At 40.9% G+C, this 26,294-nt stretch overlaps 1 long non-coding RNA gene across 1 annotated transcript; it reads right to left on the reverse strand.

The window, feature by feature from the left end:
• Nucleotides 1-619: 619 nt before the first annotated feature.
• Nucleotides 620-21,768, reverse strand: LINC01947 (long intergenic non-protein coding RNA 1947). Its single transcript, NR_108020.1, has 3 exons — nt 21,361-21,768; nt 3,323-3,409; nt 620-690 (listed from the first exon to the last, which is right to left on the reverse strand). It is a non-coding gene; the product is annotated as a long intergenic non-protein coding RNA 1947 (long non-coding RNA).
• Between the last annotated feature and the right edge of the window lie 4,526 nt (nt 21,769-26,294).

A 26,294-nucleotide genomic window follows, 5' to 3' on the forward strand; every position in this document is an offset into this window, starting at 1 on the left:
AAGTGTCCCAGCTGTAAAGAACTATTCAAATGGTGACGGTGAGCCATACTGAAGAGCAAAGACCAGCAAACACCGGGGAGTGGTGGGGAGAGGGGGCACTTGATACTACACGCCCCTGTGAGTGTAAGCAGCCCCGACTCAGCCCCAGCAGATGGTCGCCATGTGGGAACGCAGCTCGAGAGTTGCCAGATTTTTTGAGAGAAGCAGTGAAATCTAATGATTTTTAAACATTGGCAATTAATTCAAATGTAAAACACCATTCAGCTACCACTGCAGCCTATATAATCCCTTCTGGGGATAACCTGTGGGCCAGCAGTTGGCAAATTCCACTTTAGAAGGATGGTGAGAGGACTGTCTTTATTCCCAATTCCAACATGGAATGATTTCTCAGACTACAAGCCTTCCCTATACTAAAGAGGATTTCTCTGAAACACCATTCCAGGTGACTTCAACCTGCTGCTGGCATTTAAGACGACCATGGGCCTGCCTCTTAGGGAGCTAAACAATTGACACTTTGGGCTATGCCTTTTATGGTACAAAACTCCTATCTCCACATGACCAAAGAAAGAGAGGTTGTGTGTACTCACTTGTCAAGTTTTCAGGAAAACATGCTCTATAGATGGCTTTAATATGAGCTTCATGTGAAGGTCAGGTGGCCATGAAATTCAGGGACTATATTTATGATTTTACCTGAGGAAATGCACCAAGTAAAACACAAATGCTCAATACTGCTTTTCTGAGTAGACGTTGCTAATTAAAATGCCTTATGAAATCATTTAAAATGAACCCAGAAAAAGGTGACAGAAACATTTTATTTGATGATAAAGAGTGGACAAGTGAAACATTTCCATAATTCTTTTGCTCAATAACTGATCTACTAAAATGCCTCTGTTTTTGCTTTTTATTGATACCTCGGTTGATGTTTCAGAATATTGGGGGATATTTGGATCACTTATTTGCACTTATTTGGGGCACTTATTTGCTGTCCCATTCCCAGTTTTATGGTCTCTATCCCAGAGTAATAATTTGTATAATGACATGATTGAGGGAAAAACATTTCATTGAAAAAACTGGAAAAAGAATTTTATCAAGTTTTCTACATAGGGCTACGTTGTAGAAGCCTCAGTTATGAAGATGATTCTGGGAGGTGCAGTAAGCCACTTGGAAGGGAGGCCATGTGCAGGGGGTTTGAAAAGGACTCATTTTCTTTAGCCGGTTATAAAAATCCAAAATAAATAAATAAATACAAGGCATAGAGAGGGCTCATATGAGCAAGGCCACTCAGTTCACAGACACAGTCATATCATGGATAGTTACCCCTGGAATGTTCTTCGGAAGAAGTAACCTTCAACCCTTTCCTGCTACAGCAGAGGAAATTGAGGCCCAAAAACTAATGTTCACAGATGTCCCCAAAGTCACAGAGCTAGTTTTCTGATGACTGTTTTCTTTATCGCATTTCCGTCTGCTGACATTCCCGAAGCCCTATGTCTTGTGGCCATTTCATGTGACAAGGGTAAGAAAATAAGAGAAAAAACTTATGGGTGGGGGGTGGTGTGTGTGTACAAGTGCACGTGTGTGCATGTTATTTGTTGGTAATTTTATTCAAATGTTCAAGGGGAAGGAAGTTGCATTCAAAAGTAAAATGGTATTTTAGCATACTAATAATTCTTAGCTCTCTCTCATGCCAAATAAGTTAAAAGCTGTCAATACAATAACTAAAATAAGTTCTGCGGAATTGACAGCTTTCAAGAGGAAGAAAAGAGTATACATACATTATCTCGTAACCTCCTATAAGCTTTTAGGTGCTCATGAAGAGTCTGGGGCTGAAAGGGGTAAAATAGCTTTCACCAAGTCGCCTTGTTGATTACTGGCAAAGCTGGCAGTATGAGGTGGTGAATAGAACATTCCCCTTTAGCTCAAGGCTTGGGTTTGACTGCAACACTGGGTCTGCCCACCAACTTGGGTTTGACCATTGCCTCCAACACTCCCAAGACAGAAGACCTTGGGCTACTTACTGGAATCTAAGTGTGAGTTTCTTATCAGCAAACTAGAGTAATAATAGTTCTCACATCATATGCAAAATGGTAATCAAAACTCATAGTAGTAATTTTTGAGGTTGTTTGAAAGATTCAGTGAAATAATTCACATAAAGCACTTAGCTTATGTTTGCTGCATAGTGAATGCTCAGGAAATATTAGCTGTTATTATTATCATTATTTCTGGGGCTCCAAGGTGTGTGCCTTTTTTTCGTGGTATCACACATTGTCTTCATACGCCTACCCTAGTTTATCACCTTTATACACACTGACATGTTAAAATTTTGTAATGATGATTTCCATTTTTCAAGGATCTACAGGCATTTCAGCAATAGTTTATCTTCATAATGAAGAAAGTGTTAACAACACTCAGTTGAAAATTAGGCTGGATGATTGAACCCAGAATTCTCAAACACCCCCTCTGCACCCTTTTCCTAATCATCAACACCTTGACCACTTTCCTAATGTGATGCATGCAGATTAAGTCCTTTGTTTATTGATTGGCCAAATATATGCAGGGCGAATGTATGCTACTTCATCCTTGGCTCTGCCAAGGGAGACTGTTACCATGGTAACAAAGGCATCCTTTGACTCCTATTTCTACACAGAATTATAGAAATGCTTCTTAAAAATACTTACAATAATATTTAATGTCGAATCAAAAGTAATTTTTCTCATTGTTTGAGGAGTAAAATTGATTTTCTCTGGGCAAAGTTTGTTTGGATGCCCAAATGTACTGTTTATAGTAATGTGTTCCACCAAATTTCTTTAAAAGCCAGTTAAACATATTTTGTCTTAACTTCTAATCTAATTTCATCATTTGGAAGTGCTTCTTGCTGCACCGTGCCTATTTTGATTTGGAAATAGTGCACATTCCATCTTTGCTATGTCAGGGTAAGGTGGAGGGGAACAGAATGAATCATTCGATTTCTTATGTCAGGAAGGGAGAGGGAGACGCAAGCTTGAGTATGTTCAGGAGTCTATGGCTTATTTTAATGCTGAGATTTTCAGGTGGCAGCTCGTGCTTGGTTTATGATTCCAGTGGATCAAAATCCATTCTTTCTCAAGAGGCATCTATTTTTATTTTTTCAAAATTAAAACTAAGTTTGGTTCTCATCATAAGAACAATACGTGATTTTTCGAAAGAGTCAGAAAATATAGAGCAATAAAATAAAGACACCCATAATCCTACTTCCTAGAGATAACCATCATTGCTATCTGGTAACAGATATTATTCCAGAGTTTCTTGTGTTGATATATGTTTCATTTTACAAAATAAGACTTACCTCTGTAATGTTTTGTAACTTGCGTTTTTCATTTATTCATGTACTGGATGTGTTGAAAGATCACTTCTGATGCACTATGTTGAATGGCTGCAAAGTTGTAAAATATTGATAATTTGAATTAATATTCATTCATTGAATATTTAGGTAGTTATTAGATTTTCCCTAATTGAAGGAGAATTGTATTGAATTCTGTTTGTTAACCTCTTCATCTGCTTTTCAGATACCTGTAAATGAGAAAGGATAAAGCTAGATTCTTGCATCTTGCTGAGATTAAAGGAATGTGAAGGATGGTTAAGGTGGCTCTCTAGTAAACCTCTGCCTCCCTTCATGGGAGAAGACCCAGAGAATCCCCGCATGGTGTCCGCATCTCGCAATTATAGCCGTGAACTCCATGTCAGCTTGTCTTCTATGGCCTTGAGCCATTCACACGTTAGACTCCAGCATCAGCTACCTAGTATCTTCAGAGGGATTTTAGATCTTTATTTTTTTCACAAATATTTGACGAAGATCAATTATATCCTAGTACTCTGCTATCCTCTGTGAATTATACTACCTACCCATCATGCACGATCATGTACACAAATGTTTAAGTGACAGGATGTAAAACAGCATGGGCTTTCACCTATGAGAATTACAGGTCTGAATCCCAAGTCTTCTACTAAACAGTTAATTAATATTTTTGAGATTTGGTTTTCTCATCTTGAAAATGGTAGAAATAGGCCAGGCACAGTGGCTCATGCCTGTAATCCCAGCACTTTGGGAGGCCAACGTGGGCAGATCACTTGAGGCCAGGAGTTTGAGACCAGCCTGGCCAGCATGGCAAAACCCCGTCTCTAATAAAAATACAAAAATTTACCGGGCGTGGTGGTGCATGCCTGTAGTCCCAGCTACTCGGGAGGCTGAGGCAGGAGAATCGCTTGAACCCAAGAGGTGAAGGTTGCAGTGAGCTGAGATCGCGCCACTGCACTTCAGCCTGGGTGACAGAGCAAGATTCCATCAAAAAAAGAAAAAAGAAAAAAGAAAGAAAGAAAAGAAAAAGAAAATGATAGTTCCTTTTCTCTTCAGGATTCCATGAAAATATATGAAAAACGCTAGGCACAATACCTGGCAGATAGTAAGATAAAGGCAATGGTGGGGCCAATGGAGATGAGAAAGCATGGAAAAGGGAGCTGCTCATCCCTTTTAGGGGGTCAGGGAAGCCATCCAGCTTCCATTTCTGTGCTCAATAGACTAAGCCCAGAGCTGCAAGTTTAAAACTGCATGTCTAAGTGCCAGCTCTCCATGACTCACTGCCTGACCTGGGGTTAACCACTTAATCTCTCTCTCTCTCTGCCTTGGTTTTCCTCTCCATACCATGAGCATAATAACTCTTACCCCCCTCACTGGGGTAAGAATGATTAATCACTGTTTATAAAGCTCAAGAAATCCTTTGAGTATGAAGTGCAGTGAGATTGGAAAGCATTATTAGTATTAGCTGCTTTCTTAATAACTAAACCAACATTCTGGGGACTGCTGAATGGAGTACTTTGGAGTTAGACCCTCATCCTATATCACTGTCAAGCACCTCAGTTCCTTTAGCCCTGCCCCTCCGGATATCAGTTTTTCTACCATCTTAATGCTTGCTCTTCAACAGGCTGCAATCAATTTCCTGCTTATAGTCAAGTGCCCATAGCCACCCACACCCATAGGCAATGCTTTTTCACTTCAACAAGTATTTATTAAGCAATTGGATGGTGCTATGCTGGATGCTAGAGATACAGGAATGGATGAGGATCAATACAATCCTTACCTTCAAGGTACATAGCACCTATTATACAGGATAACAGAATCCTAGGGCTCCACATACATGCACATATGTAGTCAGCAAAGTCTTCCTGCTAGAGGTGATATGCAACTGAAAATTGGGAGGGAAGAAACTTATAGCCAGGGAAATATTGGGGGAAGGGGAGAGAAACAGGAAAGAGTGGCATAGAGCGAGGGAACTTATTATCCAAGCCCCAAAATGAGAAAGGGTAAGGTCTGGTAAGAAAATTGAAAGAAGTTTCATAGGATTGAAGCCGAAGAAAGGGAAAGTGTCATATGAAATGATACTCCCAACAAATATAATTCTGTCTGTTGGTCAGGCGCAGCCTAGTGACCTGGTCAGTGGTGTCCTTTATTTAATGCACCTCCAGGCCTGGAATGTTGGCTTCTCTCCAGCCTGGACATTTGAACTGACTACTTCTTCCTGAACTCTTGGACTCTAGACTCCCAGGCCTTCCTTTACTTACTTTCTTTCTCTTTTTTTTTTTTTTTTTTTTGAGACAGAGTCTTACTGTCACCCAGGCTGTAGTGCAGTGGCACCATCTCAGCTCACTGCAACCTCCACTTCCTGGGTTCAAGCAATTCTCATGCCTCAGCCTCCCAAGTAGCTGGGATTATAGGCATGTGCCACCATGCCAGGCTAATTTTTTTGTATTTTTAGTAGAGACAGGGTTTTGCCATGTTGGCCAGGCTGGTCTTGAACTCATGACCTCAAGTGATCCTCCCACCTCGGCCTCCCAAAGTGCTGGGATTACAGGTGTGAGCCACCGTTCCCGGCCCCTTTAGTTTCTTAGTGTTGATATTAATAAACACTTTTTGTCTGACTACTTGCTGCTGTCCTGTCCCTTTCCTTGTAGCTATCACCTATTTTTTAGTAGAGTTGTCAATCTCAAGTATGCTGTTGGTATAAATTGGGCCCCAACATTCTAAAAACCAAAACTCTGTACAGATAAAATGAAACAACTAAAAAAGAGAAAGAGGCATATCTGCAAGCAGTTAAGTAAAACATCACTATGATGTTCCTATGTATAACTATGAAAGAAATGCATGTGGTTTAGGTTCCTGATAAGTAATGCATATTGTACATTAATTTTGCAAGTATATAAAAGAAAAGCCTTGAAAATAGCACCAGTAAGTGTATATATCAAAACCTAAATGGCATAATGAAACCTTAAACAAGCGGTGAGAATTAAATGGAAAGAACTAGATTCCCCCCAAAAAGAAAAGAGAGACTTGTCAGTAACAAAAACATAGAATAAAACTTTAATCAACATCAGAGTTAATCAGCTCATTTGGTAACTGACAGTTCAATGAAGTATCTGTTTTAAAATCATGGGCAAAGCAGACTGCCAAGTTTTATTTGTCATCTGATATAAGTTGAGCTATAGTCCGAGGTGGTGGAAAACCTTTCTTGTTGGATTTTACCTCTTTAATCTCAAATGAAAACTGGCATTCCATCTGGCTAATGTCCAATGTGACACATTTTGGGAGCCATCAACTACCTAGCCTTACAAATCAAGAACACTGATTAAATAATCAAGATTTCTGAAAGCCTTGAGGGAGCTATACGTTTTTTGCATCAGTAATTGCCATTCTGTTTGTAGCACAAGACGTTTTTGAGCTCTGGAAGAAATCTTGTGTTTGACATACAGGCATTGAGTCTCTTATTTGTGGGTTAGCAAGAGTTTGACATCCTTAGAAGTAATATGATAGCAAATATGGAAATTGTGAGATTTTAAAAATGTCTTAAACTAATGAAACTTGTCACTAAGAAGATGAAACAAGATAAGTAATTATTTGGTTATTTATTTTGAGGGGAGAATAAAGGTAATGATATTTTGCCTAGCATCCATTAAAATAAAAGCTGTTATTGTTCTTTCTGATGATGTTATTATGTAACAAATATCTACATAATTATTAATCCTCCATACACATATTCAAAAGTCACCTCTCCCCTATACTAAATAGAAATGTAAAGATGGAAAATTCTTCTCAAGACACGTGGTCAAACACACCTTTATGGTGATTTAAAATAACCATTGCTCAAAGTAGCAAGACATTGATTAGAATAATAACTGATTTCCCTGAATTGCATGCATGAAGGAATAATTCTTTCATTTCAGATGTCAAAATTAGTCCAGAAAATATCAATGAACATTATTAATGTTACATTCAGCTTTGGCCCTAGGCAAAATTGTCAATTTGGTGAAGTTATTCCTTGCCATTTCTCAACATACCTTTGAAGGATTTTATTTATGCTGGTATTAAATCATTTATTCATTCAACAATTTTTTACTGAGACTCTACTAGATGGCAGTCATAATTCCCAGTGCTAGAGATACAGCAACAAAAAAGACAAACACCTTGTGTATCTAGACCTTATATTCTGAAAACCAGAGTGGAATCAGATAATTAAAAACCTAATTCAGGCTGGGCACAGTGGCTCACGCCTGTAATCCCAGCACTTTGGGAGGCCGAGGTGGGTGGATCATGAGGTCAGGAGTTCAAGACCAGCCTGACCAATATGGTGACACCCCATCTCTACTAAAAATACAAAAATTAGCTGGACGTGGTGGCACATGCCTGTAATTCCAGCTACCTGGGAGGTTGAAGCAGGAGAATGGCTTGAACCCGGGAGGTGGAGGTTGCAGTGAGCCCAGATCACACCATTGCACTCCAGCCTGGGCAACAGAGCGAGACTTCATCTAAAAAAAGAAAAAAGAAAAGAAAAACGAAAAAAAAAAGCCTAATTAAGCTTAAAAAGAAGTTTGTAGATTATGGTAAATGTAATAACAATAATAGAATGATACATTGGAGGTTATCTGAGGCTTTCTTTTTTTTTTTTTCTTCTTTTTTGACCGGGAGTCTTGCTTTGTTGCCCAAGCTGGAGTGCAGTGGCAATCTCAGCTCACTGCAACCTCCACCTCCCAGGTTCAAAAGATTCTCCTGCCTCAGCCTCCTGAGTAGCTGGGATTACAGGCACGTGCCACCACACCCAGCTAATCTTTAGTAGAGACAGGATTTCACCATGTTGGTCAGGATGGTCTTGAACTCCTGATCTTGTGATCCGCCCACCTCAGCCTCCCAGAGGGCTGGGATTACAGGTGTGAGCCACTGTGCCTGGCCTATCTGAGGCTTTCTTAAGTGTGGTGGTCAGAAAAGACCTCTTCAGTGAGCTGAGACCTTAGAGCCAACCATTACCATTACAAAATGGTGGAAAATGTGGAAGGAACCATTACACATAGAATTACAAATAGAAGAACCTTCTATTACAAATAGAAGAACCTTGGCAAATTAAAAAACCTCAGTTCCGTGGAACTGAGACCAGGGAAATGCTGGGAGTTAATGGCCAGAAAGAAGCTCTGTGAGACCAAAGTGTAATTAACAAAGAGAGAGTAGTATAAGATGAGGCAAAAGAGCGATACATGGGTTTTTGGCTCATGTAAGTTCTCATAGGCAATGATAAAAACTGCAGTTTTCATCTGAAGAGAACTTTGCAAAATTTTGGTAAATATCTATCCTCTTTCTCCTTTCTGTCTTAGAACTTCCATTCCCTTGCTTCTGAGAGTCTCCTAATATTGCAGCTCTCCCGTTAGCCCCTTGTCCAAAGATCTTTTTTGGTCTTTTCTCATGTAATGTGCCTTCCAGCTTCCCACTTTCTTAGGGACCTACCAGGCAATTTGTAAACTAATCTGATAAACCAATATGAATTAAAGCATTCATAGGTAATGTCACTTAAAATGGTATTCCCCTAAGATAGTATCTTTCCTATAAAACAGCCTTTATTATCTAGACTGCAAGGAGTAAATACTTTGGAAGTTACAGCTATTTAACAGAAAAAAAAAAAAACCCCACAATATAAGCAGCTGCTTTTTTCCCCTCCCATGAAAAGGAATATACTTGTGTGAACTGTTCAGTTCAGCTGGTTAGAAATCAGGAAGTATTATTATCACCCTTGGTTTAACAATCACTAGGATTTATTAAGCCCCTCTTGTGCACCAGGCACTACACTAGATACTTTATATACATAATTTCATTTAATTATCATTACCAGTCCCATAAATTCCCAATTTATAGATGAAGAAAGTGAGGCTCAAAGGCTTATCTGCCTTGCACTGTGAACTTGTGATGAGAACAGGTTTCGAAATATAAAAGGCAATCCATAAGAATTTGCTTAATAAATGCATGATTGGAATGAATAAGTGAATGAATAAATAAGTAAATAAGCCACACAGCCTGGGAGTTAGTGGATAGAGCTATGATTGGATTCAGCCCTCATGGACATAGAAGCCCATGCTATTCTATATAATGATGCCTTCCTCATTTAGTACGTGATGAATTTGATATTCTGATCTACAGTTCAGAGCATAGTTTATTCAAAGGCAAAAGGAACATGTCCAATGAGGCAGTTAGAGGATTTCTGTCAGTTAGAGGATCTCCTCCCTTAATTTTTCTGGTTGTGGGGAGCAATTTGCTACGTCTACTGAGGAATTCAGCCTGATTAGATGACTAAATTCTGATAGTAATGTTATTTTGATAAGACCAAAAATTTCCCCAAAGGTGTTTGCAAGGAACGCACACACATGTGTGCACACACATGCATACACACAGATAGGTAGACACGTTCTGTGAGTGAGAAAAATGCCACATGGACATGGAAGGATCCAGCTCTTGCCTCTAGTCAGTGTTTATAACTAAGCTTGCTTCTTTGGGGTGATGTTCACTATCTTACCCATTCCAAAAAATAAATAAATAAAAACCCCGTGGTGTCTAAGAACGTGATAAGAGTTATCTTCAAGGAATACAATTTCATTCTTTGATTTTATTGAGATCTACACATCTCTGTCAGAAGTTGAACTAGTGCCAGAGTCTTTAAAACAGAAATAAATAAGCGTGTGGCTCTGATTCATCCTCTTCCGAAATCATACTGAACTCTTGGATGGGCACTCTCCTGAAGAGACGATGCTTCTATTTGTGTTATAAACCTGAACTTCAGGATAAGTGAGAGGAAGCTCTCCAAAAAGTGCTCTTGCAAAGCATTCCCCTTGTTACTGTATTGAAAGAAAATGTTCTTCAATAAAATATGTTTAGGAAATAAAGTGAATTATCTGATCTCTTAGCAATTTTCAAAGAACATTATTAAAGAACCTAAGAGGTCCTAAAAACCAAATAAATAAATAACAACAATCTATATAACTTTGTTTACCCAATATATCCCATACAAATCTGGCCACAGTACACCATAAAAAGTACATGTAATTGATTAGTGGTCCATTGAATATCTTTTGGGAAATGCTGACTTAGGAACTTTAAGTGGTTCATGATGGGTAGAAAAGTAAAATTTTTCTGTGTGCGTATAGCTGTCGTAATCCCTAGGGACTTGTGGGATAATTTGTAAGATTTTAAATGGGAAACATCTTTAGGGTAATGTGTGCTACTTTTTTTTTTGTTGTTGTTGAGATCGAGTCTCCCTCTGCCACCCAGGCTGGAGTGCAGTGGCGCGATTTTGGCTCACTGCAATCTCTGCAACCTCCGCCTCCCAGGTACAAGTGATTCCCCTTTCTCAGCCTCCCCAGTAGCTGGGATTACAGATGTCCACCACCACGCCTGGCTAATTTTTGTATTTTTAGTAGAGACAGGGTTTCACTATGTTGGCCAGGCTGGTCTCAAACTCCTGACCTCAGGTGATCTCCCCATCTTGGCCTCCTAAAGTGCTGGGATTACAGGCGTGACCCACCACGCCCAGCCGTGTGCTACTCTTATATATGGTAAAGTTACATCTGACTCTACCTGTAGGCAGCAACGCATGGCAGGCGTGAAGGAGCACAGACTGCAGAGTCAAGTCCTACCATTGCCACTTACCACTCATGTGACTTTGTATGACACTTAAATTCTTTGAACCTGATCTATAAACAGTACTTAGCTCGAAGGAAATTATGGAGCTAATGTAAACAAAGTGATTAGCATTGTGCTGGGCAAATACTAAGTGCTTAATAAGAGGCACCTGTTTTATATCTTTCTCTTTTTGTCTGATGCTTCTTACGGGTTTTTGTAGAATCATTCACATTCTCTTATAGAGCCCTCTTCTTGTCAGGGCATGCATTTGTAAGAAGGCCAAGTGGGTATTAACTATCTCATATATAGACCTCATTAGTGCAATTCACAAACCAAGACCAGAGTTTTATGGAGACGGAATGTAGAGTTATTTCTTGCAATGTTACCCACACTCTTCTTTAGCTATAATATGCAGTTAAGTGGCACTTTGAAAAGCTATTAGCACAAAAATCACTTATATTAAAACTAGTCTTAACATTAAAAATCAGTTTTTTATAAAAATCTGTGAATATCTCTTATGCTATTATTAAACCTGTGCAGGGATGTCCCCTTAAAAACCAAAATGGGTCTCATAAAATCATCCCCAAAGGAAATTTATAGTACAACATCCTGGAATGATGTTTACCATAAGTACAGACCAGCAACTGCCAGACAAACATTTGTGTTTGCCAGGTATGCGAGTGATTGGTGGAATTTCAAACAAGGACTTTAAGTTATCCACAAAGACATTTGCTGCTCATACATCTGTAACTGACATTTATAAAGGAAAAATCCCACTGTAGGCTTATAAAAAGATTTTGCACTTGCGTTCGTAAGGACTTCAGTAGGATTTCTATACTATACATTACGTTTATTAATTTCGGAGTCAGAACATGACAACAGTTATTGTGTTAGGCTGACTATAATTATCAAGCTTGTTATTCCTTTGCCCCAATGCATAGGTGCTCCATCTCATTCAGAGTAAAAGTGACAGTTCTTGAAAGGGGTTACTAGGCCCTCCGATCTCATTTAACCTCATCTCTCCTCCCCACTTACTCACTCTGCCATAACGACACCATTCTTCTTGTTCTAGGCATGCTCCTACCTCAGGCCTTTGCATTTTTGTTTCCTTTTGTCTGTTTTTTTTTCTTTTCTTTTTTTTTTTTTTTTTTGAGACGGGGTCTCACTCTGTCGCCAGGCTGGAGTGCAATGGTGTAATTGCGGCTCACTGCAACCTCCGCCTCCTGGGTTCAAGCAATTCTCCTGCCTCAGCCTCCTGAGTAGCTGGGATTACAGGTGCCTGCCACCACACCAGGCTAATTTTTGTATTTTTAGTAGAGATGGGGTTTCACCATGTTGGTCAGGCTGGTCTCGAACTCCTGACCTCGTGATCCACCCGCCTTAACCTCCCAAAGTGCTGGGATTACAGGCGTGAGCCACCGCACCCAGCCTTCCCTCTGTCTTAAATTCTTTTCTTCAAGATACTCACAAAATTGATGTCTCAGTTCCTTCAGGTCTCTGCTCACATGTCATTTGTAAACTAACATGGTTTCCTCAAAAGTTTCTTCACACTTTATCCACCCCTGCTTTATATTTCTCCATAGCACTGAATACTATATGACATAGCCATACCTGCTCATAGAATTCAATTACTAAATTTCTCAAAAATTTGCCACGTGATTTTTTAAAACATTAAAACTTGAAATTGGCCATGTTGCAAATATTTACACCACGGTGACTGGCAATACTACCAGTCATGACTTTTATTTAGAGAGCTGGTTTACCAGAACATGACAAGACATAATATTTATGTGCTTACATATATACTGTTGGTCAACACTATTGTATAATCTCAAAAAAGTGCAAAGAGTCTGTTTTGTTCACTACTGTTTATCTAGTGTCCTGGACAGAGTCTGACACACTTATGTCGAATGAATGATTGATGAGGATATCAAAAATTAGGATTCTATGGCAGTTAATATTTGAGAAAGATGAGATTGGCCTTATCATCCATTCACTAATTTCGTCATTCAGTAAATATTTTTGAGAGCTCGTGTACTAGGTGCTCACACTGTTCTAGGACTCGGAGACTTTTTTTATTATTGTTATTATTTTTAAGACGGAGTCTTGCTCTGTCACCCAGGCTGGAGTGCAGTGGGGTGATCTCGGCTCACTGAAGCCTCTACCTCCTGGGTTCAAGAGATTCTCCTGCCTCAGCCCCCTGAGCAGCTGGGATTACAGGCGTGCACCACCACATCTGGCCAGAAACATTTTAATAAACAGAAGAGAAATAGTCCTTACCTTCACGGAGCTTACATTTTAATAGAGGAGAGAAAAACAGTGAACTAAAACAAACAAACACAAAAGATAAAAGCTGTAAGTTCAGATACTGATATGTTAGAAAAAATAAGTTTAGATATTGCTAATGCTTGTAAAACACTAAGACCACAACAAGGGAATGAATAGAGAGGGGCTGGAGGAGGAGTTGATCTTTTACATACAGAAATCAGGTACAGCCTTTCTGAAAGTTGATGTTTGAACCGAGACATAAATGACAATTAAGTCTGCCAAACTCAGATCTAAGGAAAGAGCATTTCAAGCAGAAAGAAGAGCAAAGTGCAAGGCCCTGATATTGGACTGAGTTTGGTGAGCTGGAAGAACAGAATGAGGATCACAACTCTTAAAACATACTGGCTGGGCGTGGTGGCTCACACCTGTAATCCCAGCACTTTGGGAGGCTGAGGTGGGCGGATCACGAGTTCAGGAGTTTGAGACCAGCCTGGCCAACATGGTGAAACCCCATCTCTACTAAAGATACAAAAAATCTGCTGGGCATGGTGGCACGTGCCTGTAATCCCAGCTACTCGGGAGGCTGGGGCAGGAGAATTGCTTGAACCTGAGATGCAGAGGTTGCAGTGAGTTGAGATTGCACCATTGCACTCCAGCCTAGGTGACAGGGCGAGACTCCATCTCCCCCCCCCAAAAAAAAAAAAAAAAAAGAAAAGAAAAAAGAAACATATTGGGTTAGGAAGAGAATGGTGGTGGATGAGATCAGAAAAGCAGGCAGAGTCAGACCACTCAGGACCTTCTAGGCCATGAGAAACTCAGAGAGGAACATGATACAGTGTCAAGTTTGCAAAGATCAAAGGCAACAGAGGATGGTAAGTGACCAATTACAAGCTAGTGCAGTGGTTCAGCATGTACACTGCAAAAATATACAGTCTGTGAGTGATAGTATGGACCACAAGGGATCCTGATCATTTTAGAGGTGAATTTAGCCAAAACATTCATGACATAATATCTTTGGCTTTTACACACTGTTCAAGATGAGATGAAAAGATGTAATATTCTGTACCTTTTATTAAAAGCTAATATAAACTTGATACTCAAACCAACCAAGGAAAGTATAAGACAGTTACAGCCAATCTCATTAAAGTTTTACATGCAAAAATCTTATTTAAAATATTAGCATGCTACATAAAGCAATGTGTTAAAAATGCTTTGGAACCGGAAAAGGTTTCCCTCAAGAATTCATGGATGGTTTAACATTAGAAAAAACTACTAATGTAATTAAATATGTTAACAGGTTAAAGGAGGAAGGAATAAATGGTCATCCCAAAAGATACAAAATAATTGGATAAAATTAAAGTCCATTCTTGATTAAAAAAAAAAAAAGAATCCAGGGAATCTAAGAAAACATTGCTAATATGATGAAGGTTTCTAGCAAAAAACTTACAGCAAACTCCTTAATAATAAAAGTTAGAAATACTCATTTTAAAGTAAACAAAAGGTTAACTTTTTCTTTTTCTCCATTCTATTTATTTCTTCTCCTTCTTTTTTTATTTGTTTTTGAAACAGTCTTGCTCTGTCGTCCAGGCTGGAGTGCAGTGGTACAATCTCGGCTCACTGCAACCTCCACCTCTCAGGTTCAAGCAATCCTCGTGCCTCAGCCTCCTGAGTAGCTGGGATTACAGGTGTGTGCCACCATGCCTAATTTTTTTTTTTTTTTTTTTTTTTAAGTAGAGACGGGATTTCACCATGTTTGCCAGGCTGGTCTCAAACTCCTGGCCTCAGGTGATCTGCCCGCCTCAGCCTCCCAAAAATACTGGAATTACAGGCTTGAGCTACCACACCCAGCCAGAATCTAACCACTCTTCATCATGTATATTTCCAGTATTATAACAATAGCTTTCTACCAAGTTTCCCTGCTTCTATTTGTGTGTGTGTGTGTGTGTGTGTGTGTGTGTGTGTGTGGAGGTAGAATTGATTTTTTGGTATATAACAATCTGTGCATAATTAATGTATACAACTTGGTCAATCTGGAGATGAGTGTACACCCATGAAGCCACCACCACTATCTGTGTCATAGACCTATTCATCATGTTAAAAGCTTCCTCCCAATCTATTATATGTTACGATTACAAATTTTTGTGATAAGCATGCTTAACATGAGTTCTACTCTCTTAGAAAAATGTCAAGTATACAATACAGTACTGTTAACTATATTCACTATGTTGTACAACAGATCTGTAGGATTTATTTATCATCTATAACCAAAACTTTGTACCCTTTGATGAACATCACATTTTTCTCTCTCCTCATCCTGTAGAAACCACCATTTCACTATATGCTTCTATGAATTTGATTATTTTAAATTTATCACATATGTTGTATCATGTAGTATTTATCCTTCTGTGTCTCATTTCACCTAGCATAGTGACCTCTAGATTCATCCATAATGTCACAAATAGCAAAATTCCCTTTGGTTGAATAATATTTCATTGGATATATGTAACTCATTTTTATTCAAAATCACTAATTATCAGGGAAATGCAAATCAAAACCACACGAGCTATCACCTCATACCTGTTAGAATGGCTATTATCAAAAAAAGATAAATATTGAAGATGTGGAGAAAAGGGAACACTTATACACTGTTAGTGGAGTGTAAATTCATAAAGCCATTATAGGAACCAGCATAGATGTTCCTGAAAAAACTAAAAATAGAAATACCAAATCACCTAGCAATAGCACATCTGGGTATATGTCCCAAGGAATTGAAGGCAGAGTCAATTACAAAAGGTACAGATCTTTCTGTACTCCCTGTTCATTGCAGCATTATTCATAATAACCAAGACATGGAAGCAACTAAATATCCATCCCTGCTTCTATTCTATGTGTATCTTTCACAGGAGCCTCAGTGATCTTTTAAAATTTTAATTCAGATCACAGCTCAGAAGCCTGAAGTGACTCTCTGATCTTCGCTCCAACTTCTTTCTCCCTTGCTTTTTCTGGTGCAGCCACAGACTAGCCTTCTTGCTGTTCTTAAGACACGAAAGGCATGATCCCACTTCATGGTCGTGGTTCTAGCTGTTCCCTTTGTCTGAAATGCTTTGTACTGCCAGAAACTACTTGGCTGATTCCCATGGCAATTTCAAGTCTGATCAAATCTGCCCTTAATGAGACTACTCTGACCACAATTTTTTTTTTTTTTTTTTTTGAGACGGAGTCTCACTCTGTTGTCCAGGCTGGAGTGCAATGGTGCGTCTCGGCTCACTGCAACCTCCACCTCCAGGGTTCAAGCAATTCTGCCTCGGCCTCCCTCCTGAGGAACTGGGATTACAGGTGTGCACCACCACGCCCAGCTAATTTTTGTATTTTTAGTAGAGATGGATTTTCACCATGCCGGCCAGGCTGTTCTCGAACTCCTGATCTCGTGATCCGCCTGCCTCAGCCTCCCAAAGTGCTGGGATTGCAGGCGTGAGCCACCAAGCCCGGACACCACAATGTTTTATGACACAACTTGTACCATTCTCCTTACTGTGCTCTTATTTTTGTTTATTATTATTATTATTATTATTATTATTATTATTTTTTTTTTTTTTTTTGGGACGGAGTCTCGCTCTGTCGCCCAGGCTGGAGTGCAGTGGCGTGATCTCGGCTCACTGCAAGCTCCGCCTCCTGGGTTCATGCCATTCTCCTGCCTCAGCCTCCCTAGGAGCTGGGACTACAGGCGCGTGCCACCACGCCCGGCTAACTTTTTTTCTGCATTTTTAGTAGAGAGACAGGGTTTCCCCGTGTTGGCCAGGATGTTCTCAATATCCTGACCTCGTAATCTGCCCACCTCGGCCTCCCAAAGTGCTGGGATTACAGGCATGAGCCACCACTCCCAGCCCTTATTTTTTTATTTTGCATATCATCTTGCAAAACACCATATATTTTACTTATTTTTCATATTCTTAATTTGCAAGATAGTGAGCTCCACAAGGGCAATATTTCATTGCTGTTGTTCATTGATGTTTTTTGAGCATATAAAAGAGTGCCTAGAAAGAGTGGGTGTTCAATAGTACTTGTTGATTAAATGAATGAACAAATGAATGAAGGAAAATCAATAAGAAGGTAGAAAAAGAGAACGTGGATAAGTAATATATAAACAGACAATTCATTGAACAGAACAACCAAATGACTAATAAACACAGAAAAAGCTGCTCGATCTAGTAATAATCAATACAATGAAAAACGAAATCAAGATAACACTTATTCTCATCTGAATGGCAAAACAAATTAAGTCTAATAACACAAAGTATTGGTAAGAGTTTGTAGAAGCAAGTAGTGATGTAATTTAATATAAATTTGAAAGACTATTTTGAAGTTCATTTTATAATTCTGAATAAAATTATCCATATTCTTCAGCCTAGTGACTTCACTTCTAGATACATTTCCCAAATTAACTCTCCTACATGGACAAGAGAGGTTAGCAGCACTATTTATAATAGTAGAAAAAGAAGCTACTCAAATCCTTCAATAGGACAAATATGAACTGTGGTTTATTCCTACAATGCAGTTTTATACAAATTTAAAAGTAATAAGCCAGAACTACATATATTAATATGAATTCATATAAAAAACTGAATTTGGAGTAGAATTAGTACAACATGCAACCCCACTGGAATTTTTTTTTTTTTTTTTGAGATGGAGTCTCAGTCTGTCACACAGGCTAGAGTGCAATGATATGATCTCGGCTCACTGTAACTTCCTTCCCTGGTTCAAGCAATTCTCCTGCCTCAGCTTCCTAAGTAGCTGGGATTACAGGCGCCTGCCACCACACTCGGCTAATTTTTGTATTTTTAGTAGAGACAGGGTTTCACCATGCTGGCCAGGCTGGTGTTGAACTCCCGACCTCAGGCAATCCGCCCCCCTCGGCCTCCCAAAGTGCTGGGATTACATACGTGAGCCGCCACGTCCAGCCTGGAACTTTTTAAAGACACAACAATAATATCTATATTCCATATGGCTTTATATGTGTTTATGAAAATGCAAAAAATGCATGGGAATTGTAATACGTACTTGAGGAGAGTGATAACTTTTGGGAGAAAACAAGGAAGAGTTTAGATAATGGGGCTTTTGCACTATGAGTTATTAATTTCTGTTAAGATTTTTATGGTAAATATGATAACACCATGTATTCAAATTTAGTGTGGGAGTCTTTCATGGTATTTTCTGTGATGTAATACCAAATTTTAAATTTTAAAATTTTAAATCAATATTTTGGCAAATAAGAGTAAAAGGGAGATGAAAAGAAAGATTGGGTGATAGCATAAGGGGGCAGCAAGGAAAATATAAAATGCTATTGGGAGAGGTGAGATCTGAGTATATTTGTAAGCAGGACAGAAGGGGCTTTGAAAACGGGGAAGCAGGCCGGGTGCGGTGACTCACGCCTGTAATCCCAGCACTTTGGGAGGCCAAGGCAGGTGGATCACGAGGTCAGGAGATCCAGACTATCATGGCTAACACGGTGAAACCCCGTCTCTACTAAAAATAGAAATAAATTAGCCGGGCACGGTGGCGGGCGCCTGTAGTCCCAGCTACCTGGGAGGCTGAGGCAGGAGAATGGCATGAACACGGGAGTCGGAGCTCTCAGTGAGCCGAGATCGCGCCGCTGCACTCCAGCCTGGGCGACAGAGCCAAACTCCGTCTCAAAAAAAAAAAAAAAAAAAGGGGGCGGGGGGGATGCAGACAATATAAGAGAAAAGGTAAAAGTGTAAAATATTGATGTCATGTGTAGGATGTCAAAACTAAGGCACATAAGTAGCTGTTAGTTTTGACAAGAGGGAGTCATATTTCTTCTACAAGAGGAGAGAAAAGGAAACACTAGTTGGAGGTACAGAGTTATATTGAAATACAGAAGAGAAAGATAAAGGGCACTCTAGCAAATTTAAATATTCTCAGTCAAGTTGAAGACAATGGGATATCAAGGCTATTTTCAGCCAGTAAGGTAATAAAGAGTTTTGATAATTTGAGGAGACCAGAGAAAGTTTGAAATCTCTGCAGGTATGTAGTAAGAAACTACTGCAGGTCTGTAGCAAGTAAATAGGAGAGTTACAAGCAACCCAAGCCTTATAAACCCAACTGTGTTAGAAATTGGTGAGTTTTTAACTATACGTGATTTTCATGCTGTACTTGATTTTTTAACTTCTTCCAGAAGTTCTCAGTAGCCAAATACAGGAAATGGATAGAGGGGCTTATTCAGAATTGAAAATCACCAGAATTATAAAAGCAAAAAGAATAGTGAATCCATGAATCTATGGTGTTCAGGAGAGCATCAATTAAATAGCTAAGCCTAAGATCAAGGCAAGGAACAGAGGCAAATGAGAACCTCCAAAATCTCATAGAATGGAGAAATAGTAAGTTGAAAACATGAAGAAGTTGAAGTTATGATGAGGACAAAAGAACATTTTTAGCAAGACTACAATGACAAGAAGAATGAAAGAGGGAAGAAGTTGGCACTCTAGAATTTTGCAGTTTGTCATCTTTGATATTAGTTACTTCAGGATAAAATCAAGAAGTGCTTAAAGATGGAAAAAATTGAGTGAAAATTATCATTAAAATCTGGGTGAGTCATACGAAACTCAAATACTAGATGATATAGTAAGTTTAAATGAACTAACAGAGGATGATGGAAACCATGAAGTAGAAAGGACACACAGATAGCTGTTAAATTATTAGAGTATACTGCTATTATTTTAAAAACAAGGGTTAGGGGTGAATGTTATTTTTATTCAAATTTTTACAATTATTTTACTCAATGTTATGAAGTTTGTTTATAGTGATAGCATGTAGATATAATTTATTTGCAATTTTTCTAGTATTCATTTGCATGAATGCTCTCACATTTATTATCCACTCTCTAATGGTTTTCAGTTTTTTTGTTCTGACAAAATAATGCAAATATACATTTTATTTTAAAGTACGTTTTATTATAGTATGCACACATGAGGAAAGATCTCTAGGACATTTATGTGAAAGGGAAATTCTAGGCTCCAGGTATATATATCTTCAACTCGAATATGCAAACTACAGAATGATATATACAGTAAATGACATTTTTGTAAATTTTTAAAATATGTAAACTTTATATATTTTCTGTGTTGGTCCAGTTTGCATTGCTATAAAGAAATGCCTGAGACTTGGCAATTTGTAAAAAAAAAGAGGTTTATTTGGTTCATGGTTCTGCAGACTGTACAAGAAGTACTGCACCAGCATCTGCTTCTGGTAAGGCCTCAAGAAGCTTTTAATCATGGTGGTAGGCAAACAGGGAACTGGCATACCATATGGCAGGAAAGAGAACGAGAGAGAGATGGGGGGAATCCCAGACTTTTTAACATTAGATCTCATATGAACTCAGTACTCTCGGGAGGGCTTCAAGGCATTAATAGGGATCCAGCCCCATTACCCCAACGCCTCCCATAAGGCCCCCCTCCAACAGTGAGAATCATGTTTTAACATGAGATTTGGGGAGGACATCTAAACCATATTACGTGCATATCAACTAAAGATACAAAATTTGATCAGGAAGTGCAAGAATAAATATGAGGACAATGGTTACTCTAAAGAAGGAGACTTAGGCCAGGTGCAAAGGCTCACTACTGTAATCCCAGCACTTTGGGAGGCTGAGATGGGTGAACCACCAGAGGTCACGAGTTCAAGACCAGCCTAGGCAACATGGTGAAACCCCATCTGTACTAAAAATACAAAAATTAGCTGGGCACAGTGGCATGTGCCTGTAATCCCAGCTACTCGGGAGGCTGAGGCAGGAGAATCACTTGAACCTGGGAGGCAGAGGTTGCAGTGAGCCAAGATCACACCACTGCACTCCAGCCTGGGCGACAGAATGAGACTCTGTCTCAAAATATATTAATAAAAAAAAAGTAGGTGTTTAATATTTACGCATGTCATAAATTTGAAATATTTCAAAGTAAGATTAAAATAATATCTTTTCAAAATGATACTGTTCATTGTAAAACGTTTAGAAGTCAAAATGAAAGTAGTAGATGAAAATAAAAATAACCTTCCATTTCAATACCCTGAATAAGAACTACTAATATTGTGTCCGGAATTGGTGGGTTCCTGATTTCACTAACCTCAAGAATGAAGCCGCAGACCCTCATGGTATAAGTGTTCCAGTTCTTAAAGACGGTGTGTCCGAAGTTTTCTCCTTCTGATGTTCAGACGCGTTCAGAGTTTTTTCCTTCTAGTGGGTTCGTGGTCTTGCTAGCTTCAGGAGTGAAGCTGCAGACTTTCGTGGTGAGTGTTACAGCTCTTAAGGCGGCGCGCGTCTGGAATTGTTCATTCCTCCTGTCGGGAGTTGTTCATTCCTCCCTGTGGGTTCGTGGTCGCACTGGCCTCAGGAGTGAAACTGCAGACCTTTGCGGTGAGTGTCACAGCTCATAAAGGGAATGCAAACCAAAACAGTGAGCAGCAGCAAGATTTACCGCAAACAGCAAAAGAACAAACCTTCCACACTGCAGAGAGAAACTGAGCAGGTTGCCACTGCTAGCTCTGGCAGCCTGCTTTTATTCCCTTATGTGGTCCCACCCACATCCTGCTGATTGGTCCATTTTACAGCAAGCTGATTGGTCTGTTTTACAGAGGCTGATTGGTCCGTTTTGGCAGGGTGCTGATTGGTGCGTTTACAACCCCTGAGCTAGACTCAAAAGCTCTCCAAGTCCCCACCAGATTAGCTAGACACAGGGTGCCGATTGGTGTACTTACAAACCTTGAGGTAGACACAGGGTGCTGATTGGTGTGTTTACAAACCTTGAGCTAGATACAGAGTGCTGATTGGTATGTTTACAAACCTTGAGCTAGACACAGAGTGCTGATTGGTGCATCTACAATCCCTTAGCTAGACATAAAGGTTCTCCAAGTCCCCACCAGATTAGCTGGACACAGGGTGCTGATTGGCGCATTCACAAACCTTGAGCTAGACACAGAGTGCTGACGGGTGCATCTACAATCCCTTGGCTAGACATAAAGGTTCTCCAAGTCCCCACTAGACTCAGGAGCCCAGCTGGCTTCACCTAGTGGATCCTGCACCACGTCTGCAGGTGGAGCTGCCTGCCAGTCCCCTGCGGTGCGCCCACACTCCTCAGCCCATGGGCAGTGGTTGGGAGCCAGCGGCTGGCGCTCATAGAGGAGGTTCCAGCCGCGCAGGAGCTGACGGCGCAGGGCAGGCTCAGGCATGGCGGGCTGCGCGTCCCGAGCCCTTCCCCCGGGACGCAGCTGAGGCCTGGGGAGAGTTCGAGTGCAGCTCCGGCAGGCCAGCACTGCTGGGGGACCCGGCGCACCCTCCACAGCTGCTGGCCCGGGTGCTAAGCCCCTCACTGCCTGGGGCTGGCGGTGCCGGCCGGCCAATCCGAGTGCGCGCCCGCCGAGCCCACGCCCACCCGGAACTCGCGCTGGCCCGCAAGCGCCGCGCTCAGCCGCTGTTCCCACCCACGCCTCTCCCTCCATACCTCCCTGCAAGCTGAGGTAGCCGGCTCTGGCCTCGGCTAGCCCAGAAAGGGGCTCCCACAGTGCAGCAGCGGGCTGAAGGGCTCCTCAAGCGTGGCCAGAGTGGGCGCTGAGGCCGAGGAGGCACCGAGAGCGAGCGAGGGCTGCAAGGTCTGCCAGCACGCTGTCACTTCTCACTATTTTGGTATGTTTTCCACTAGACACACACATGTATACGTAGATTATATTTTGTATCATGTTTTAAGATGCACTTCTGTTTTACTTAACAACAAAAATGTTACTAAACTTTGGGTTTCAGTTTCAACATGTGAAAACCTCAGAGGTTATCTCCCATCCTTTAAACAGACAAAAGCAGAATGAACTAAAAACCATTGACTTTTCTTGGACTCATCAGAGAACTGGTGTTGCAGGGCAAACACCCTAGTGCAAAATCTAGAGAGAAAAGAGAATCCAGAGAGTCATAGCCTGATCTGTATACTGGAGCAGACCCTACTGCAGCCATAAAGTGCTAGGAACACATAAATGGTAATTGTAACAAATTGTTGTAGATTTAACGTAGATGAGCTCCAGAGAGTGAAACTCCTGGAGGCCATAGGCTTAGCAGCTCTCTACACAAACTCACCTCCACGGACTCTACTAGGTTCTTAGTGCAGAAACAAGAGTCTCTCATGGCTCTGGCAGGGGAGGGGAGGAGTGACCATTGTAAAATATGCCCAGTGCATTCTTCATTATGAAGGTCTACCCTTCAGGGGAAAAGACTTCACCAGAAACTTCTCTCACATGAGGAAACAGAACTTCCCCAAACTAAGGCCCTTGGAGGAGTGAGAGGATAGGATTCTAAGAAATACATTGTGAAGGTCACAGTCTGGGGATACATGGCCACTAAAAGACTAAGATTTAATCATGTAATTATAGAATGCTCCCCCTGTCTGATACTTTTTCACCACATCAGCAAGGCTCTGGTATAATAACAGTGTATTAAAGGTGAAGAAAAAAAGCTGGAAGACACAGATTTTACCTGAGGATAAATTTTTAGGGAAATCTAAAGGTAGCATGGGAGTCTAAAATAATGATTCTAGAGAAGATTGACGCTCTGGCACCTATAGCTGTGGCAAACCTTAAGCAAAGATAAACTCCTACCCAGTTTAACATAAAACCCCACACTACTTTAGGGCTATTTTACCCCAGTTTACTATTGAGGCCTATTTTACCCCAGTTCCTGTTACACTATACGTCATGCCCAGCTTTTAACAAGAAATTATGAAACATGCTAAGAGGCAAGAGAAAAAACACAGCCTGAAGAGACAAAGCAAGCATCCAAACCAGACTCAGATATGACAGATTTTGGAGTTATCAAACAAGGCATATAAAGTAACTATGTTCACTATGTTAAGAGCTCTAATGGAAAAAGTGGACAACATGCAAGAACAGATGGTCAATGTGCTAAGAGAGACGGAAAATCTAAGAAAGGATCCAAAGAAAATGTTAGAAATTAAAAAAAAACAAAACAAAACATAGTAATAGAAATGAAGGATGCATTTGAAAGTCTCATCAGTAGCTGAACATGACTAATGAAACAATCAGGAAGCTAGGCTGAGTGCAGTGGCTCATACTTGTAATCCCAGCACTTTGGGAGGCCAAGGCAGGTGGATTGCTTGAGCTCAGGAGTTCAAGACAAGCCTGGGCAACATGGCAAAACCCCGTCTGTACAAAAAATACAAAAATTAGCTGGGCATGGTGGCTCATGCCTGTGGTCTCAGCTACTTGGGAGGCTGAGGTGGGAGGATTGCTTGAACTAGGGAGGCAGAGGCTGCAGTGAGCTGAGATCATGGTACTGCCGTCCATCCAGGGCAACAGGGCAAGACATTGCCTTAAAAAAATAATAATAATAATCAGTAATCTCAAAGGCAGGTTAATAGAAAGTTTCCAAATTGAAATGGAAAGAGAAAAAATATTGAAAAAATAGAACAGAAATCACAAAACTGGGACAGCTTCTGAGGATGCATATATGCAAAATGAGAAAACCCAAAGAGAAGACAGAGAGAATGGATCAAGAAATACTTGAACTAACAGTGGTCAGTAATTTTCCAAATTTAATGAAAGACATACTGCAGTTGCAGAAACTTCAGGACATATCAGATGAGATAAATACCTAAAATCTACATTTAGGCATATCATATTCCAGCTGCAGAAAGCCAAAGACAGAGAGATCTTGAAAGGTCCTTGGGCACAGGGGGCAGTACAAAAATGCCTTTCCTATGGAGAATAAGAATTCAGTGGACTTTCCATCAGAGCCACCAAGGAATAAAAGAGTAAGGTGAAGTATTTATTTATTTATTTATTTATTTATTTATTTTTTAAGATGGAGTCTTGCTCTGTCACCCAGGCTGGAGCGCAGTGGTGCGATCTCAGCTCACTGCAACCTCCACCTCCCGGGTTCAAGCAACTCTCCTGCCTCAGCCTCCCAAGTAGCCGGGACTACAGGCGCCCACTACCATGTCCAGCTAATTTTTTGTATTTTTAGTAAAGACAGGGTTTCACCATGTTAGCCAGGATGGTCTCGATCTCCTGGCCTCGTGATCCGCCGGCCTTGGCCTCCCAAAGTGTTGGGATTACAGGCGTGAGCCACTGTGCCCGGCCTTTATTTTTTGAGACGGAATCTCACTCTTGCCCAGGCTGGAGTGCAGTGGTGTGATCTTGGTTCATTGCAACCTCTGCCTCCTGTGTTCAAGTGATTCTCTTGTCTCAGGCCCCCGAGTAGCTGGGATTATAGGTGTGCACCACCAAGCCCGGCTATATTTTTGTTTTTGAAGAGACAGCATTTCACCATGTTAGCCAGGCCGGTCTCGAACCCCTGACCTCAGGTGATCTGCCCATCTCAGCCTCCCAAAGTTCTGGGGTTACAGGCGTGTGCCACAGTGCCCGGCCTATTTATTTATTTATTTGAGATGGAGTGTGGCTCTGTCACCCAGGCTGGAGTGCAGTGGTGTGATCTCGGCTCACTGCAACATCCACCTCCTGGGTTCAAGCAATTCTCCTGTCTCAGCCCCCTGCGTAGCTGGGATTATAGGCATGTACCACCAAGCCTGGCTACGTGTGTGTGTGTGTGTGTGTGTGTGTGTGTGTGTGTATTTTTAGTAGAGACAGGGTTTCACCATGTTAGCCAGGCTGGTCTTGAACTCCTGACCTCAGGTCATCCGCCCGCCTCAGCCTCCCAAAGTTCTGGGATTACAGGCATGTGCCACAGTGCCCAGCCTATTTATTTAGTTATTTGAAATGGAGTCTTCCTCTGCCACCCAGGCTGGAGTGCAGTGGTGTGATCTCGGCTCACTGCAACCTCTGCCTCACAGGTTCAAGCGATTCTCCTGTCCCAGCCTCCCGAGTAGCTGGAATTACAGGTGCCTGCCACCACACCGGGCTAATTTTTGTATTTTTAGTAGAGATGGGGTTTCACCACGTTGGCCAGGCTGGTCTCAAACTCCTGACCTCAGGTGGTCTGCCAGCCTCGGCCTCCCAAAGTGCTGGGATTACAGGCGTGAGCCGCCACACACAGGGCCAAGGG

This window comes from Homo sapiens, chromosome 5, assembly GCF_000001405.40.
Source record: "Homo sapiens chromosome 5, GRCh38.p14 Primary Assembly".
NCBI lineage: Eukaryota > Metazoa > Chordata > Mammalia > Primates > Hominidae > Homo > Homo sapiens.